A 14,775-nucleotide genomic window follows, 5' to 3' on the forward strand; every position below is an offset into this window, starting at 1 on the left:
GTCACTTACCACCTCTGTAGTTCTGTATATTTTATTGCTTACTTAATGCCCAACTCTGGCCACGGAGGGTTGGGATTTATTTTTTGTTGTCTGCATCTTCCCAAGGATCTAAAACAATACCTGACACACAGGTGGTAACCAACGTATTTGCTGAATGGAGTAATTAAGTGTCATTTCCTGTCTTAGTCTGTTTGTGTTCCTATAAAGGAATACCTGAGGCTGGGTAATTTATAAAGAAAAGAGGTTTATTTGGCTCACGTTTCTGCAGGCTGTACAAGAAGCATGGCATTAGCATTTGCCTCTGATGAGGGCTTCTGGCTGCTTCCACTAGTGGCAGAAGGCAAAGGGGAACCGGAGTGTACAGAGCTCACAGGGCGAGAGAAGCAGCGAGAGGGGAGAAGGTGCCAGGCTCTTTTTAAGAACCATCTCTCACAGGAATTAATAGGGTGAGGATTCACTCACTACAATGAGGACAGCGCCAAGCCATTCATGAGGGATCCACCCCCAAGACCCAAACACTTCCCATTAGGCTCCACCTCCATCACTGGGAATCAAATTTCAACATGAGGTTTGGAGGGTCAAATATTCAAACTAGCGCAGTTTCTTTCCTACTTCCACTCTTGGCCAGCCTGGAAATCCATTGTTGATCACTTTTAATAATCCAGCAGATAAGCTCTACTCACCCTGAACCCAGGATCTGCATAGCAGTCCCTGTTCCTCCACCCAGCCTTCTGAGCACAGCTGTAGAAAACACTGCGATCATTAGTGGAGATACCATGATACGTGGTATCTCCATGGTGTGGCCAGCTAGGCCCCTGCCACTAGGAGATCCTGGCTGGCTTCTGTTCTCACCCCTGTAGCTGATATTTCAAACTACTCCTTGCCTCAAGGTCCCTGTCTCTCCACAAATGACTCTGCCTTCTGTGTCATAGGGGATATTAAGGGAGACTGAGTGAGCTTGCTGAAACTTCCTACCCTTTGTCTTCTACATTTGCCCAGCTCCACCCTTCCCTTCACATCTCTATAAAGGGACAATGCTTTTGTCTTCACACTCATAGATTTTTCACACTCACATCTAGATCCTGTCTCCAAGGATCTTCAACTCCTCCTTTGCCTATAAACACAAAAACCTCTTGGCTCTGCCTGCTCTTCTGCACACTCTCCTTTTCCTCCAAAGTGCAACCATTTTAAGTTTACAGTTCAATCAATCTTGAAAAACACACACCCATGTAACTATCTTCACCATCAAGATACAGAACATTTCCATCACCCTAAAACATTTTTTCACATCCCTTTGGATTCAGTATTTCCAAATCTTGCTCCAGATAAGTACCAGTTCATTTTGTTTGTTCTAAAATTTCACAAATGACCACGTCATAGATACTCATTTGTGCCTGGCCTCTTTATCTCACATAATGTCTTGGAAATTCATCCATATTGTTGTATGTATCATAGTTCGCTCTTTTTTATTACCAAATAGTATTCTACTATAAGAATTTACCACAATCTGTTTACCTATTTACCTGCTGAGGGACATTTGAGTTGTTTTTATTTTCTTGGCTGGTGTGAATAAAGCTTCTGTGAACATTTGTGTACGAGTGTTTATTTGGACCTATTTTCATTTCTTTTTTTTTCTTTTCTTTCCTTTTTTTTTTTTTTTTTTTTTTTTTTTGAGATGGAGTCTCGCTCTGTCGCCCAGGCTGGAGTGCAGTGGCACAATCTCAGCAACCTGCAACCTCCACCTCCTGAGTTCAAGTGACTCTCCTGCCTCAGCCTACCGAGTAGCTGGGACTACAGGCGTGTGCCACCACACCCAGCTAATTTTTGTATTTGTAGTAGAGATGGGGTTTCACCTATTGGTCAGGCTGGTCTTGAATTCCTGACCTCGTGATTCACCCGCCGTGGCCTCCCAAAGTGCTGGGATTATAGGTGTGTGCCCAGCCTATTTTCATTTCTTAAAACAAGGAGGGGGACTGGCTGCATCATATTGTTTACCTCTGACAAAAAATTGACAAACAGTTTGCAAAACTGGTAGTACTGTTTTATATTTCCACCAGCAATGTATTAGAGATTCCTATGGAATTTTTAGAATGTTGATTCCTAGGTTCTTCCCCCAGGAAGCTGGCTTTGTAGGTAGAGACAAGGAATTTGCCTTTATAACCCAAGCTGGGTGATTGAGCCATGTGGGGAAACTACACTGCTCCGAATCCTCTGTTCCACCTTCCTGCCTTCTTACCTTCCTCCACTCACTGCCCTCCGGCCCCTACCCTCAGAATAAGATCAGAACTGCCACTGTCAAGTTCCCGTGATCAAAACCAACACTTGCAAATCCTCCGCATGGCATCTGAGGATGTTCTCCCTTGGACTCCTGACCCAGTCCCACTTGCAACTGCTATGGGTGTCTCAGCCCAAGGCCATACCCCCAGGACCTGCTCCTCAGTTCACATTCCCCAGATTGGCTAGTGGGTCCCACTTCCACCCAGTCACACAACCTAGAAACTCAGGAAGTCCCCAAACCAGTCCCTTTTAAGTGTACCTCTAGCAGTGACTGTAAATGTTTTGGGTTGGCCCTTTTGAAAAGTATTTAAGGGAGAGGGACAGGGATTACCCCGCATTGATAATTATTGAAGCTGGGTGCTGGGTACATGGTTTCATGATACTACTCTTCTTACTTTGGGGTATGTATAAAGTTTTTATAAAATGAAAAGTTAAAAAAAAAGCTAAAAACAGAAGCTATTTAAGGCAAACATCTGCAATAGGTTGGAGAGAATGGCCTGTTCCTCCTGCTCTCACCTGTGGCATAATTCTGAAGAGCCTGCTCTTCCAGTTGCACAGGGCACAGAGAGACTGAAGGGAAACCCAAGTTAAGAGCATGAAGGACCCTGTCAGGACCATCCCAGGCTTCCCTAAATGCAGGGCTGGCAAAATTCGTGAGGGCCTGGGGAAAACATGGGGTGATAAGTCAGCTGAACAGAAAAATGTCTTTGATGCAATCAACCAAAATTTAAATAATTGTTTCAAACCAGACTTCGAGATTGACGGCCTCTCTCTGGAGGTAGCTCTGGGCAGACTTCCTTCCATGTAGGAAGAAGTAAGATCCCTTTGATTACAGAAGCCACAAGAACAGGTTGCTCACTTAACTGGAGCTCAAGGAGCCTTGCAAGATCCTTCTCTTATCTTTCCCAGATGAGCACGGATATTTCTGGAACACCCTGCTTTTGCTTTTCCGTTGGACTCTAGATGACCTCTGGCTTTACTGCCCTCCTCCACCTTGTTCTTTCTGACCCCATCTGACCACCCTTCTGACCCCCATAACGCAGCAATGGAAATCAGCTCTCTCTTCTGCACAACTAAGATATTACCACACAGTTAGAAAGTCCCCAAACCAGTCCCTTCTAAGTGTAACCCTAGCAGTGATTTTAAATGTTCTGGGTTGGTATTCAAAATACCTTTTGAAAGGTATTTAAGGACCCAAAGAGCAGAGATGAAGTCTCAAATGCTTTATAGTCTGTGTAATCCTCTACACACATGCACCCCCATTCCCCGCCGAGGAGGAAGAGGACTGACAACCCTGCTACTAGTAACTTTCTGTTGAGATGCGCCAAACACATCTCAGAAACAACTGTCAGATATCTGCTTCAGCTGGGTTCTCTGTTAAGTGCCATGCAGGATAAAGAAGGGAGCTTATGGTTTGAGTTACGAAGCTAATACACATGAACCACACATAACGAACTGCTAGAACATGGGGCATGCACCACAGGCTTTCCTAGGTGGGGACCGGAATACTCGGAGCAGAAAACCCTCATAAAGGCAGCCGGCCCCAAGCACAGGGATGACAAGACAACATGAGTGAAAAAATGTCACTGTGTTCACGGGACAGAGGACGCAGGCTCAGTAAGTGTGACATGTTCCTCCTGAGGAACAACACAAATGAAGCTGGACTGCAGGCAGTGACACCATGGGGAAGAAAGCCTTGAAAACTTTGTGATGTGGAATGTTGGTCACTAGAGTCCAACTGGAAGCCTCTGAGAAAAAGAGGAATGTGGGCCGGGCGCAGTGGCTCACGCCTGTAATCCCAGCACTTTGGGAGGCCAAGGTGGGTGGATCATGAGGTCAGGAGATCGAAACCATCCTGGCTAACATGGTGAAACCTTCTCTCTACTAAAAATACAAAAAATTAGCCGGGCATGGTGGCAGGCACGTGTAGTCCCAGCTACTCAGGAGGCTGAGGCAGGAGAATGGCGTGAACCTGGGAGGCAGAGCTTGCAGTGAGCCGAGATCGTGCCACTGCACCCCAGCCTGGGCAAAAGAGTGAGAATCCATCTCAAAAAAAAAAAAAAAAAAAAAAAAAAAGAGGAACGTGACACAGGGTGAGCATCCCAAATCCGAAAATCCAAAATCTGAAATGTTCCAAAATCTGAAGCCTGAGCGCCAACGTGATGTGCAAAGGAAATGCTCACTGGAACATTTTGGGTTTCAGATTTTCAGATTTGAGATGTTCAACTGGTAAATATAATGCAAATATTCCAAACCTAAAAAAATCCAAAATCAGAAACACTTCAGGTCCCAAGCATTTCGGGTAAGGGATATTCAACCTGTACAAGTCCTCTGAAGGCAAGTTAGACAGGCGGGCATTGAGGCACAAAATGAAGGGAAAAAGGGAGAAGGAATCACAAAGGTGCTGCAACAGATAGACCCGAGCCGGGGTGGAGGGGAGTCAGAAACAGACAGGAGGGAAAAGAGTGTCAGCAAAACTGAGCCCTGTCTAGATAAATGCAGTGGGAGAAAGGAACGATTTAAAGGTGACATGGAGATTTTAACCCTGGCTGACAGGTAACAGTGAAACTAGAAAGGCATAGTCTGAATGAGGTAAACAACTGCTATTTTCTCAAGAATGTGCTTAAGGTTCTAATACTGTTTTCTTATTAAAAAAAAAAATTACTGGCAGAAACAAAGCCATTCACCCTTCCTTAACTCAAACCTTCAGTCTCCCAAATATGTTTCATACATTCGAGTGGCCCAATTAGGGAGTACTTCTCCCCAGTGGCAGCTCATTCCTTCCCTCCAGAGAAAAAGCACTTCATTAACCTAAGCCATAAACTCCCATTAAAGCTGTTAGGTCCAAATTTTAAGACAGAAAGTCTCAAACATTCTTTACAGTTCAGCTTTCATGAGGAAAGCATTTTTTTTTAAAGACATCTAATCAAAAGCTCCTCAATTTCTAATCTCAGCAGAACTGGAAAAGGATGTAATAAGTTTTCTTTGGAGGTAACCTCCATAAGTCACGAAGTGTCACACTTGGCAAAGACGATCACATAGAAATGACCAAGTAATCCGGAAAACTGCCCATACTAAAAGCAGCTGAAGTCTACTGCGTTCTCATTTATCTCTACTTTGGCAGAAGTAACTCAGGCCAAAAAACACACTGAACGTTATAATCAATCATGAAGGCACTGAAGACAATTCAACACTACAGCCTGTGTCCAAATGCCTCTCAGGATGTCATAACTTCACAGAATTCATTCCTGAGTGATGGAGTGCCATCAAACCAGACACTCAAAAGTGAACAAAGGGACAGGTAACTAAGTCACAGACAAAATAAGGCACTTTATCCATGTACTTCAACAATCACAACCATATTCCAACACACACCAACCAATGCTGCAAAGACGACCCATCGGAGCTGAGATCCACGCTACTACGTGTGTGGCAGCTGCTAAGAGGAGCCATCCGAAATGAGAAATGCATTACTTTGAAGCAAGTCCCAAAAATAAGGGAAGAAAGTGAGTGGGGGTGCAGGTGAACAAGGCTAGATACAAACCAGTCCCTGTTGAAGCTGAGTGATGAGTACATGGGGGTTCTTTACATAATACTTCTACATTTGGATATGTTTTAAACCGTCTATGTTTAAAAGTAAAATACAAAAAAAGAAAGAACCAACACATTTCCAAGATGCTCAAAAGTAAAAACAGGTTTCTCTCACAGCCCCTTTCATAAAACTTAATTTTCAATCCTTCACAACAATGAAGAGGAAATAAACACCTTTCTTATACTTAAGCAGTGAGGGTAAAAAGGTAGATGATGCATATTGTAAGCCTAGAAAAGTCCTTGAGAGAAAACAGGTTAGATCTATTAACAAAACATCATCACTTTTCACAATTTCCCCTTCTCATGTTTCCATTGCACTTCTGAAGACAGATCTCCAACTCTTCCAGAGTCCCACACACTGCCTAAAGCAGGACAGAAAAACCAACTGCCAAAGGCCATGCAAAACTCAAGATCAGAAACCAGAACCGGAAACTGTCATGACTATGATACAAGCAACAAATGATTCATCCTGAGAAGGCAGTCAAGTCCCATTTGTTTCTCAGGACTCCCAAAAGACGTCCAGGCAGAAGAGTTCTGGGACCCGAGTCAGCATCAAGTGCCTTGGACATTTACTGAGCATCCTGGCTGCCCAGAGCCCCAGTAAGGAGGTAGAAATCCACTAGGAAGCAAATGAGAACAAAAATTTACAACACAAGCCAGAAGTGCCACAACAGAGGGTTCAGAAAAGCACCTCCAGAACCCAGAGAAAAAATGGGCTCACCCTGCTTGAGAAGCCAGGGAGGTAAATGGGGTCTTCACAGATGAACAGGAGCTTGTCTAACATTGCAGGCTGCTGGTAGAGAGGGAGCATGAGCAAAGGCCAGAGGTCTCCAAGGCCTGGTAAGGAGTTACATGGCTGCAAGTAGGGCACCTGCTGGGCAGGGGAGGGAGCCCAGGGAGTTGGGGCGGGGGGGCGGCGGTGAGAGACCACGAATGGCCTTGCACATGCACTAAGGAGCTTAGACTTGACCCTGTGGAGCAGCACTTCTCAAACTAGCAGTGGTGAAGGGCCAGTTGTTGAAACGGCCAACCCATCATGGATGATGCTCACGCTCCCTATTTATCCTTTCCTCATCATTCACAGGTAACACACCACACACACTGATGCAGGCACAACGCCACCACTATAGACAACACCAAGAGCATTTCAGCAGGCAGGGGTACAGCTAGGTCCAATTGGTCTTTTTGGGGGTGTATCTGAGGGCAGTGTGATGAGTGAACGAGAGGGCTAAGGTGCGGGGGGCATGGATGGTGGTCAGGAGGCTGCTGCATTCACCTAGGAAATAAGTGCCAAGAGCCTGGCTAAGGCACCAGCAATGGGGCCAGAGAGGAGTCAGGTTTGCAGGGTCCTTCCCAGTCTGCATGACAGGGCTTGGTGACCACTGGGCATCAAGGGGGAAGTAGCACAGCATCATTCTATTTTCTCTAGTTTCTATACTGCTTGGCCGTGATTCTGTCAGCACAGGGAGGAACTGTGGCAAGAGGCACATGTTTAGAAAGAGACACTCACGTGAGAATAAAATTGTCTTCAAATTTCAAATAACTTTGTTCTGACTCTTCCCTCCTAAGAAATCTCCAGTATTATGTCCTGTTTTGTTCACCTGCTGTATACTCAGAACCTGGAGTAGTATCTGGATAGCTTTATCATTTATCTAAATGTCCACTCAAGGGACATCTCCGGAGTCTGGGCCCAGCTGGCTAGGAGAGTAGTCATATTGCATATTTAGCAGATTTTCATGATTAGTAAAGAATGGTTCTAATTTGACCCAGCTCTTCATGCCTACTATTATTGGAAAGGAGACAGAAAAGAATAGAGCAGGGTTGCTATAGAATAACCTGTAATTTGATGGGGATTTGAGTGTTAAATATCAGCATTAACTAGTATTTTAAGGTGAGCTCAAGAAGCCCTACACCAGCCCTGGAAATACTAAAGAAAGTCCTCTCAACTCCATCAGGCCAAAGCAAGCTAATCTAAAACAAAACATGATGGCAACATTCTCAGTTTGCATTTCGTCTAAAAGTACAGAGATGAAATATATTCAACTCTATTCACTGGTGAGGTTTTAGAGAAAGACAGACTACAGCTACAAAATCAGTGCTTAGAAGGATGGCCCCTAAAGTAAAATGTCACAACCCAAATGAGTTCCAGAAAACAAAACGCATTTTCTCTATTACGTATAATTTGCCACTATGGTGTAAGAAACCACCATTTCTGGGAACTACAACACGTTTGGCTGAGGAACAAAAGCACCTGCCAAACCACCACAGAAAGCAAAAAAAAAAAGTAAATAAATACATAAAAATGTCCAGTTCATTGGCTCCTGAAAAAAGTAAACAGCCGAATGGAGTTGCAGGCCTCTATTCTGAAGAACCCCAGTTTGGTGAGTTAAAGGTATGTGTTTGCATCAGCAAGTTTATTCCATTCAGCTCTGAATCCCTCTTTGAGACTCAGACCCAAGCTTGTATCCTCTCTTGTCTGGACTAGTGCAGTACACCCCTGCCTGGCCTCCCAGTTTCTTCCTGGCCCCATCTGTTCAGTTTCAACACAGCACTTGTTGATCTTGTAAAGTGGAGGCCATGTGCCTTACTCTGCTCAGACTACTATAACAAAATACCATAGACTAGAGGGCTTGAACAACAGAAATTTATTTCTTATGGTTCTGGAAGCTGGAAGTCTGAGATTGGTTTCTGGTGAGGGCTCTCTTCTTGGCTTGCAGACGGCCACCTTCTCACCATGTCCTCACATGGTGGAGAGAGAATGAGCGAGCTCTGGTCTCTCCCTTCTCATAAGGACACTCATCCATCCTAAGGGCCCCATCTTCATGATTATCTCCCAAAGGCCCCATCTCAAAGTACCATCACACTGAGGGCCAGGGCTTCAGCTTATGAATGGCAGTGGAAGGATGACACAAATATTCAGTCCAGAACAACAGGGCATGTTGCTCCTTGCCTCAGGTTCCTCCAACGGCTGAGGAAAAGCCAATGTCCTCACACCAGCCACTAGGCCCTACACCAGTGGTATCCGTAGGGAGAGCACAGCTCCCCAGGGAATGCTTGAGAAATCGATGAAGGTATTTTCTGGTGGTCACAGAGACTAGCGGACTTTACAGGCACTAAGTGTGGGGGACCAGGGATGCTAGCGGTCCTGTACAACCAAGGATTGCCCTGCATCTGCATGCCACTCTGATGTCCTGCCAGACATTCTCATGGGCCAAAACCCTTTACTAATTATCCGAGGCTATAGCCTGTTTTACACATAAGCACAAATGTACTTTTTCATAATATACAGAATTTTCTTGGAACGTAACTACTGTGTAAGGCAGGTAAGGCTGTACTTCTTTTGTTTGAAACACTACCAAGAACAGTTCACCGTCCTGGAAATCCAGTTGCCGTGGCTATGGTGGTAAACTATCCTGCACTTGTCTCCATCTGCATCAACAGGCACAGCATTTGTTCCTGGGGGGAGTGTCAGCGTGTGTCCGAGCATTTACATGCTATATCTATGTGATTAAAAAAATACTTTCCTATTATTTGTTTTAGATTACCAGTTCGGTAATATGTTTATTTCTTTTTGAAACTGTGTATACGTAGTTTACTGACTATAAATTTTGTTTCAGTAAGCAACTTTATAGTACATGTGAAGTAAAGGAAGCGCTGGGTCCCTCCTGCCCTGTATGACTGGCCCATCTCTCTCTGAGCTGATCTCCTCCCGCCACATCAACTCTGTGCTCCTCCTCTACCGTGCCAGGGACACTCCCATCCTTTCTTTTTTTTTTTTTTTTTAAGGACACTCCACCTTTGACCCGCTATGCCGGCTGTCTACAAGACTCCCTTGCCTCCTTGAGCTCTTGCTCAAATGACACCTTCTCCGTGGAGCCCTCCCTGTTTAAAACTGCAGACTCCCACCCCAACCTGGTACTGCCCATTCCATGTCCCCACTTCATTTTTTCTTCAAACCTCTCGTCACTACTAAGTAACTGATTTCCTGTTTTCCCACTAGAATGAAAGCTTTATGATAAAAGGGTTTGCCTGTTTTGTTCACTTGCTGTATCCTCAGGACCTAGAGTAGCATCTGGATACCTTTATCATTTATCTATATTTAACAATTTAGAAAAATGTTGAAATCTTCAGTTATAACCACAAGATTAAACTGAAAACTCAGGGTATCTGCACATTACCATCTTTAATCTTTGTATAGAAATATAAGTCAAGGCCACTGGTATCCAGGGCTGAACTAAAACATGCCAGTTTATTCTTAGAAAAACAGATCATCATGAATACTACTGGAAATTATTAGGCTGGGCACAGTGGCTCACATCTTTAATCCCAGCACTTTGAGAGGCAGATCACTTGAGGCCAGGAGTTTGAGACCACCCTGGCCAACATGGTGAAACTCCATCTCTACTGAAAATACAAAAATTAGCCAGGCATAGTGGCGCATGCCTGTAATCCAAGCTACTCAAGAGGCTGAGGCATGAGAATCACTTCAACCTAAGAGGCAAAGGTTTCAGTGAGCCAAGATCGCACCATTGCACTCCAGCCTGGGCAACAGAGGGAAACTCTGTCTCAAAAAAAGAAAAGAAAAGAAAAGAAATTATTAGACCTTAATTGGATTTATCTAATTCTTCTTTAAGTGTCTTGTAACTCCTCCTCCCTAGTCAGTCACTAGATTCTACTGATTCTATTTCTGGCTTGCCTCTCACCCTTCCCATCCCTCCTCCCTTTCCAGGTCTGCTTCCTGTTTCTAGTCATCCCACACACAGCTGCTAGAGTCATCGAAAAGCGAGCACCTGTTGAGTCACTCACCTGTTCAATCACATTAACAGCTCCCAATTTCCTGTTCAGTCAGATACAAATGCCTAAGTGCTCCATCCAGTAAGGCTCAACATCCCCTTGTAATCCTCCCTCCCTCTACCTGGAAACGCTAAGCTCCTGCTAAACGGGATAAGCTCCTGCACCCTAGACCTGCTGCCTCCTTCGCTCTTCTCCAGGCCTCACTCCTGACTGAACTCAATTCATTCACCAGGGTTTACCTCTGACACCCCACTTCACAGAGCCTCCTGCCCTCCAAATGGATGTGGGCTCACAGCACATTACTAGTCCCTCTCATGAGTGGTTACAGGACTCGGCTGTGTTGAAGTCCTGTGTTCTCATATTTTCACCATGGGTTTAGATCATGGGCTTCTTGAGGACAAGGTCTGCCTTTTTCATTTTGGGGTCCTACAGAACAGGGGTCCCCAACCCCCAGGTTGTGGACCCATACTGGTCTGTGGATGGGTCTGTGGCCTGTTAGGAACTGGGCCACACAGCAAGAGGTGAGCAGTGAGTGAGCAAGCAAAGCTTCATCTGTATTTACAGCCGCTCCTTGTCACTGGCATTACTGCCTAAGCTCCACCTCCTGTCAGATCAGTGGCAGCATTAGATTTTCATAGGAGTGTGAACCCTATTGTGTACTACGCATGCAAGTGTAGTGTGGCATGTTTCTTATGAGAATCTAATGCCTGATGATCTGTCACTGTTTCCCATCACGCCCAGATGGGACTGTCTAGTTGCAGGAAAAGAAGCTCAGGGCTCCTACTGATTCTACATTATGGTGAGTTGTATAATTATTTCATTCTACATTACAATGTAGTAATAATTATAGAAATAAAGTGCACAATAAATGTAATGCACTTGAGTCATCCCAAAACATTCCCTGCCCCTGCTCCCCCGGTCCATGGAAAAACTTCCACGAAACTGGTCCCTGATGCAAAAAAGGTTGGGCACTGCTGCTATACAGTATCTCTCACATTCTAGGTTCTCTAAATACACATTCAATTGAGTTAAAAAGAGGCAAATTCTTTCAGCTCTAAGTTAGAAGAGAAAACAGGTTAATTCTTATGTTTGACTAAGTAACGGAGAGGACACAGTTTTGTTGCATACAGATGACATTACTTGCAGAAATGAAGACTTGGAAAAAACCAACTTAAAGCATTATGTGCAGGGAAAAGCAAAGCAGAATGAAGTGGCTCAGGGTGAAGATGCCCTGCCTGGGAACAATGAAACTGAAAGACATGCCCTAACATTCCACAGCCAAAGTGTTTCTCTCAATTCTTGTGTGATTTGTTGATTTTCATCTCTGGACAAAATAGGAAATCCTGAAGTTTGAAGGACTCTGTTTCATTTTAAAAACATTAAAAGGCTTAAATGTGATGGAGATACAGTACAGATGATGTTCTTGGAACCTGTAATAAAACACTCTACAGTCTTCCTGTGGCCACACACTCCTGAGAGAGCTGGTCTTTGGGCTGCTTAAAGTTCCTGCTGATCCAAGCAGGGCCCATGCAGGTGGGGCAGGATGGCTTGTGGTAACCCAGCTGCCATCATCTATGGATGGTAACGAGGTTTGCTGCTGAATTCACAAGACAATGTGTGACCTTCTGACATATGCCAATATTTTTCCATCTAGCATACTGTTTTGGAACACTTTATTAAGGAAGGAAAAACATTGGCTGTGCTCGTGAAAGTAATGAGTCACAGAGTAGTGACGAAAGAGAACGATGCTGTTCAGACCCGAACCTCGGGCCAAATGAGATTTATTACTAGACAGATTAAATAATATAGATGACTCTGAAAGTCCCAAATCCTGGGATTTGCATGGCTTTATCTGGAAAGATTACTTTGGAAATCAAATACAATTTCCCAGCTGTAGGGCTTGACTCTGCTAGTTACCACCAGGAAGATCAGATCATAACATGGACGCATGGTATGTTAAGTAAGAAAGAAGCTCAGTCTTTATTCCCCTCACCATAACAACCCAATAAAGTGGTTAACTTGGATGAATGTCAAATCTTACAGCCCTCTATTATTTCAGCCTCTATAAAAACAAATGAGTAATTTGAGGTGTTGAGAAGATACCTTCTTGTAATTATGATTACAAGATTCTAATCATGAGAACAAATTTAGTGCAGCATGTCTTCATAAAGACCAACTAGCTAGAGCTATTAATAGAAAAGCCTAGAGCCATTTTAACATGAAGTCTAAACAGAAGCAAAAAAGAAGATAAAACGTGCTTCTTTAACTGATGCACTTAGTGGATAACCACAGCAAAGCTATAAACGTCCTTTGAGCAGAATGCCTTTTCCTCTCTTGATCCCATTCTTCTTTATTTCTTATTTATTTTATTAGATAATGAGTAATGTTTTCTCTTTCTCCAGAATATGTTTCTGTGGAACCAGTTAAGCAAATGTCCATGTCGCCCAAGGACCAAATCCAAATTACCTTCTTTTAAAGTCCATTTGATTGAGCCTGTCCTCTTGCTGACAGCATGCAAACTTCCATCCAGCGTTGACACAAACAACAAGGTTTCAGGAAGCGTCACTGTGCTGGTACTTCCAAAAATCTGCAACGAGATGTAGAAGACTCTTAATGTTGATATGATTCTTCACCTTGGGCATGTACAATCACAGACCCCCCACTCCCAAGGTTATCCTACTAAAACCCTCCATTTTACAGATGAAGAAATGGAAGGTGGAGAGCCTAAATTCCCACTCAGTCAGGACTAGAACCCAGGTCACCTCACTCTAAGCAGTGATCCTGCCTGCAGACAGGCAGGCTCATGACCTAACATTACAAGGACAAGAATTCTGAAATAATCCATGGGCAACCTCCACTGAAACAGAGGGGCAAAGTATGCTCAGCTTTCTGACTTCCTTCTCTTGGGCCTATTCTATTCTCTAAAACCTGGGCATCTCATAAGACGTTATGATAAAAAAGAATGCCAATACCCACGCATACACACATTCATGAAATTTTAAAAAGCAAAGAATTAGGGGAAAATGCTTAAAGCAAAATAGGAAAAACAGCTTTCATTATACAAAGAATTTATAAAATAAAACACTAAGATTCCAGTAAAGATATGTTATAAAAGTAAATGAATAAAAAGCATAACCCCAAACTGGTCCTCACTTAGAATAAAAATAAAATTTAAATTAAAATGTACCTTTTTTCTCAACAAACTTAAAACAAAACAAAAAAAATTTTAAAAGAAATAACCAAAGGCTGTGACATTTCCCATCCATTGCTAGTAGCACTGAAAATTACTAGTATCATCTTTCTGGAAAATATAAAAGTGCTCTTAGTTTTTGATCCTGTAATTCCACTTCTATACTCTAAAGAAATAACTCCAGAAATGGAAAAAGTTCTGTGCACAATGATACTCATGACGTCCCATTTATAAACACAAAAACTGGAAAGAACCAAACTTCCAATAATATCTAAATGGCTAAGATAAATAAAGACATATGTTCAGTGAAATAATTATCATTAAAATAACACTTGGAAAAATCTACAATATAGAAAAATGCTTATATACATTATCAATTAAATATAGAATCCAAGATTTGATATCCACTGTGGTTACAATTATACTGGACAGATTTTTTTTTTTGTCTGCCTGTCTTCTGGCTTTGCTAGGAATTGTACCCTCATTCCACAGGGTTTCCATGGGAGCAGGTGTGTGCGCACATGTACACACGGACGCATATGCAGGTGACAGCTGGTAAGGTTTCCTGGATAAGATTTCCCTTTTGAGGTAGGGGTCCCTTCAGCAACCCCACCCTTGTAATGAGATTTTCTCTTCTTTTGTCACATACTATCCTACAAATAGCTTTTTCCCCAGGTCTTCAATTAAAAAAAAAAATGCCAATGCAACTTGCTTATACTGCAACAGTTTGAATTCTGGCACAAATGCTATTTTTGAAATACAGAAGTATGGAGCATTAAATGTAAAAGGATTGGGGTTATTTGTGCATGGGAGCCTGATCCCAGAAGGCCCGGCTACTCTCGGTAAGAGCCAGGATGCCTAGTTAATCCTTCAAAGGGAAGGCCCCACAGGCTCTCTCTGGGGCAGCCTGAGGTGGCAGGACA

General features: G+C 43.4%; 1 protein-coding gene across 1 annotated transcript in view; it reads right to left on the bottom strand.

Moving 5' to 3' along the window:
- ERN1 (endoplasmic reticulum to nucleus signaling 1) overlaps positions 1-14,775 on the bottom strand; it is a 91,003-nt gene that overhangs the window by 45,851 nt on the left and 30,377 nt on the right. The window contains exon 2 of the mRNA NM_001433.5: positions 13,129-13,249. Within this exon, the coding sequence (NP_001424.3) occupies positions 13,129-13,249 (121 nt within the window). The remainder of the gene's footprint in view (positions 1-13,128; positions 13,250-14,775) is intronic.

The sequence above is a fragment of the Homo sapiens genome, chromosome 17 (genome assembly GCF_000001405.40).
Source record: "Homo sapiens chromosome 17, GRCh38.p14 Primary Assembly".
Lineage (NCBI taxonomy): Eukaryota > Metazoa > Chordata > Mammalia > Primates > Hominidae > Homo > Homo sapiens.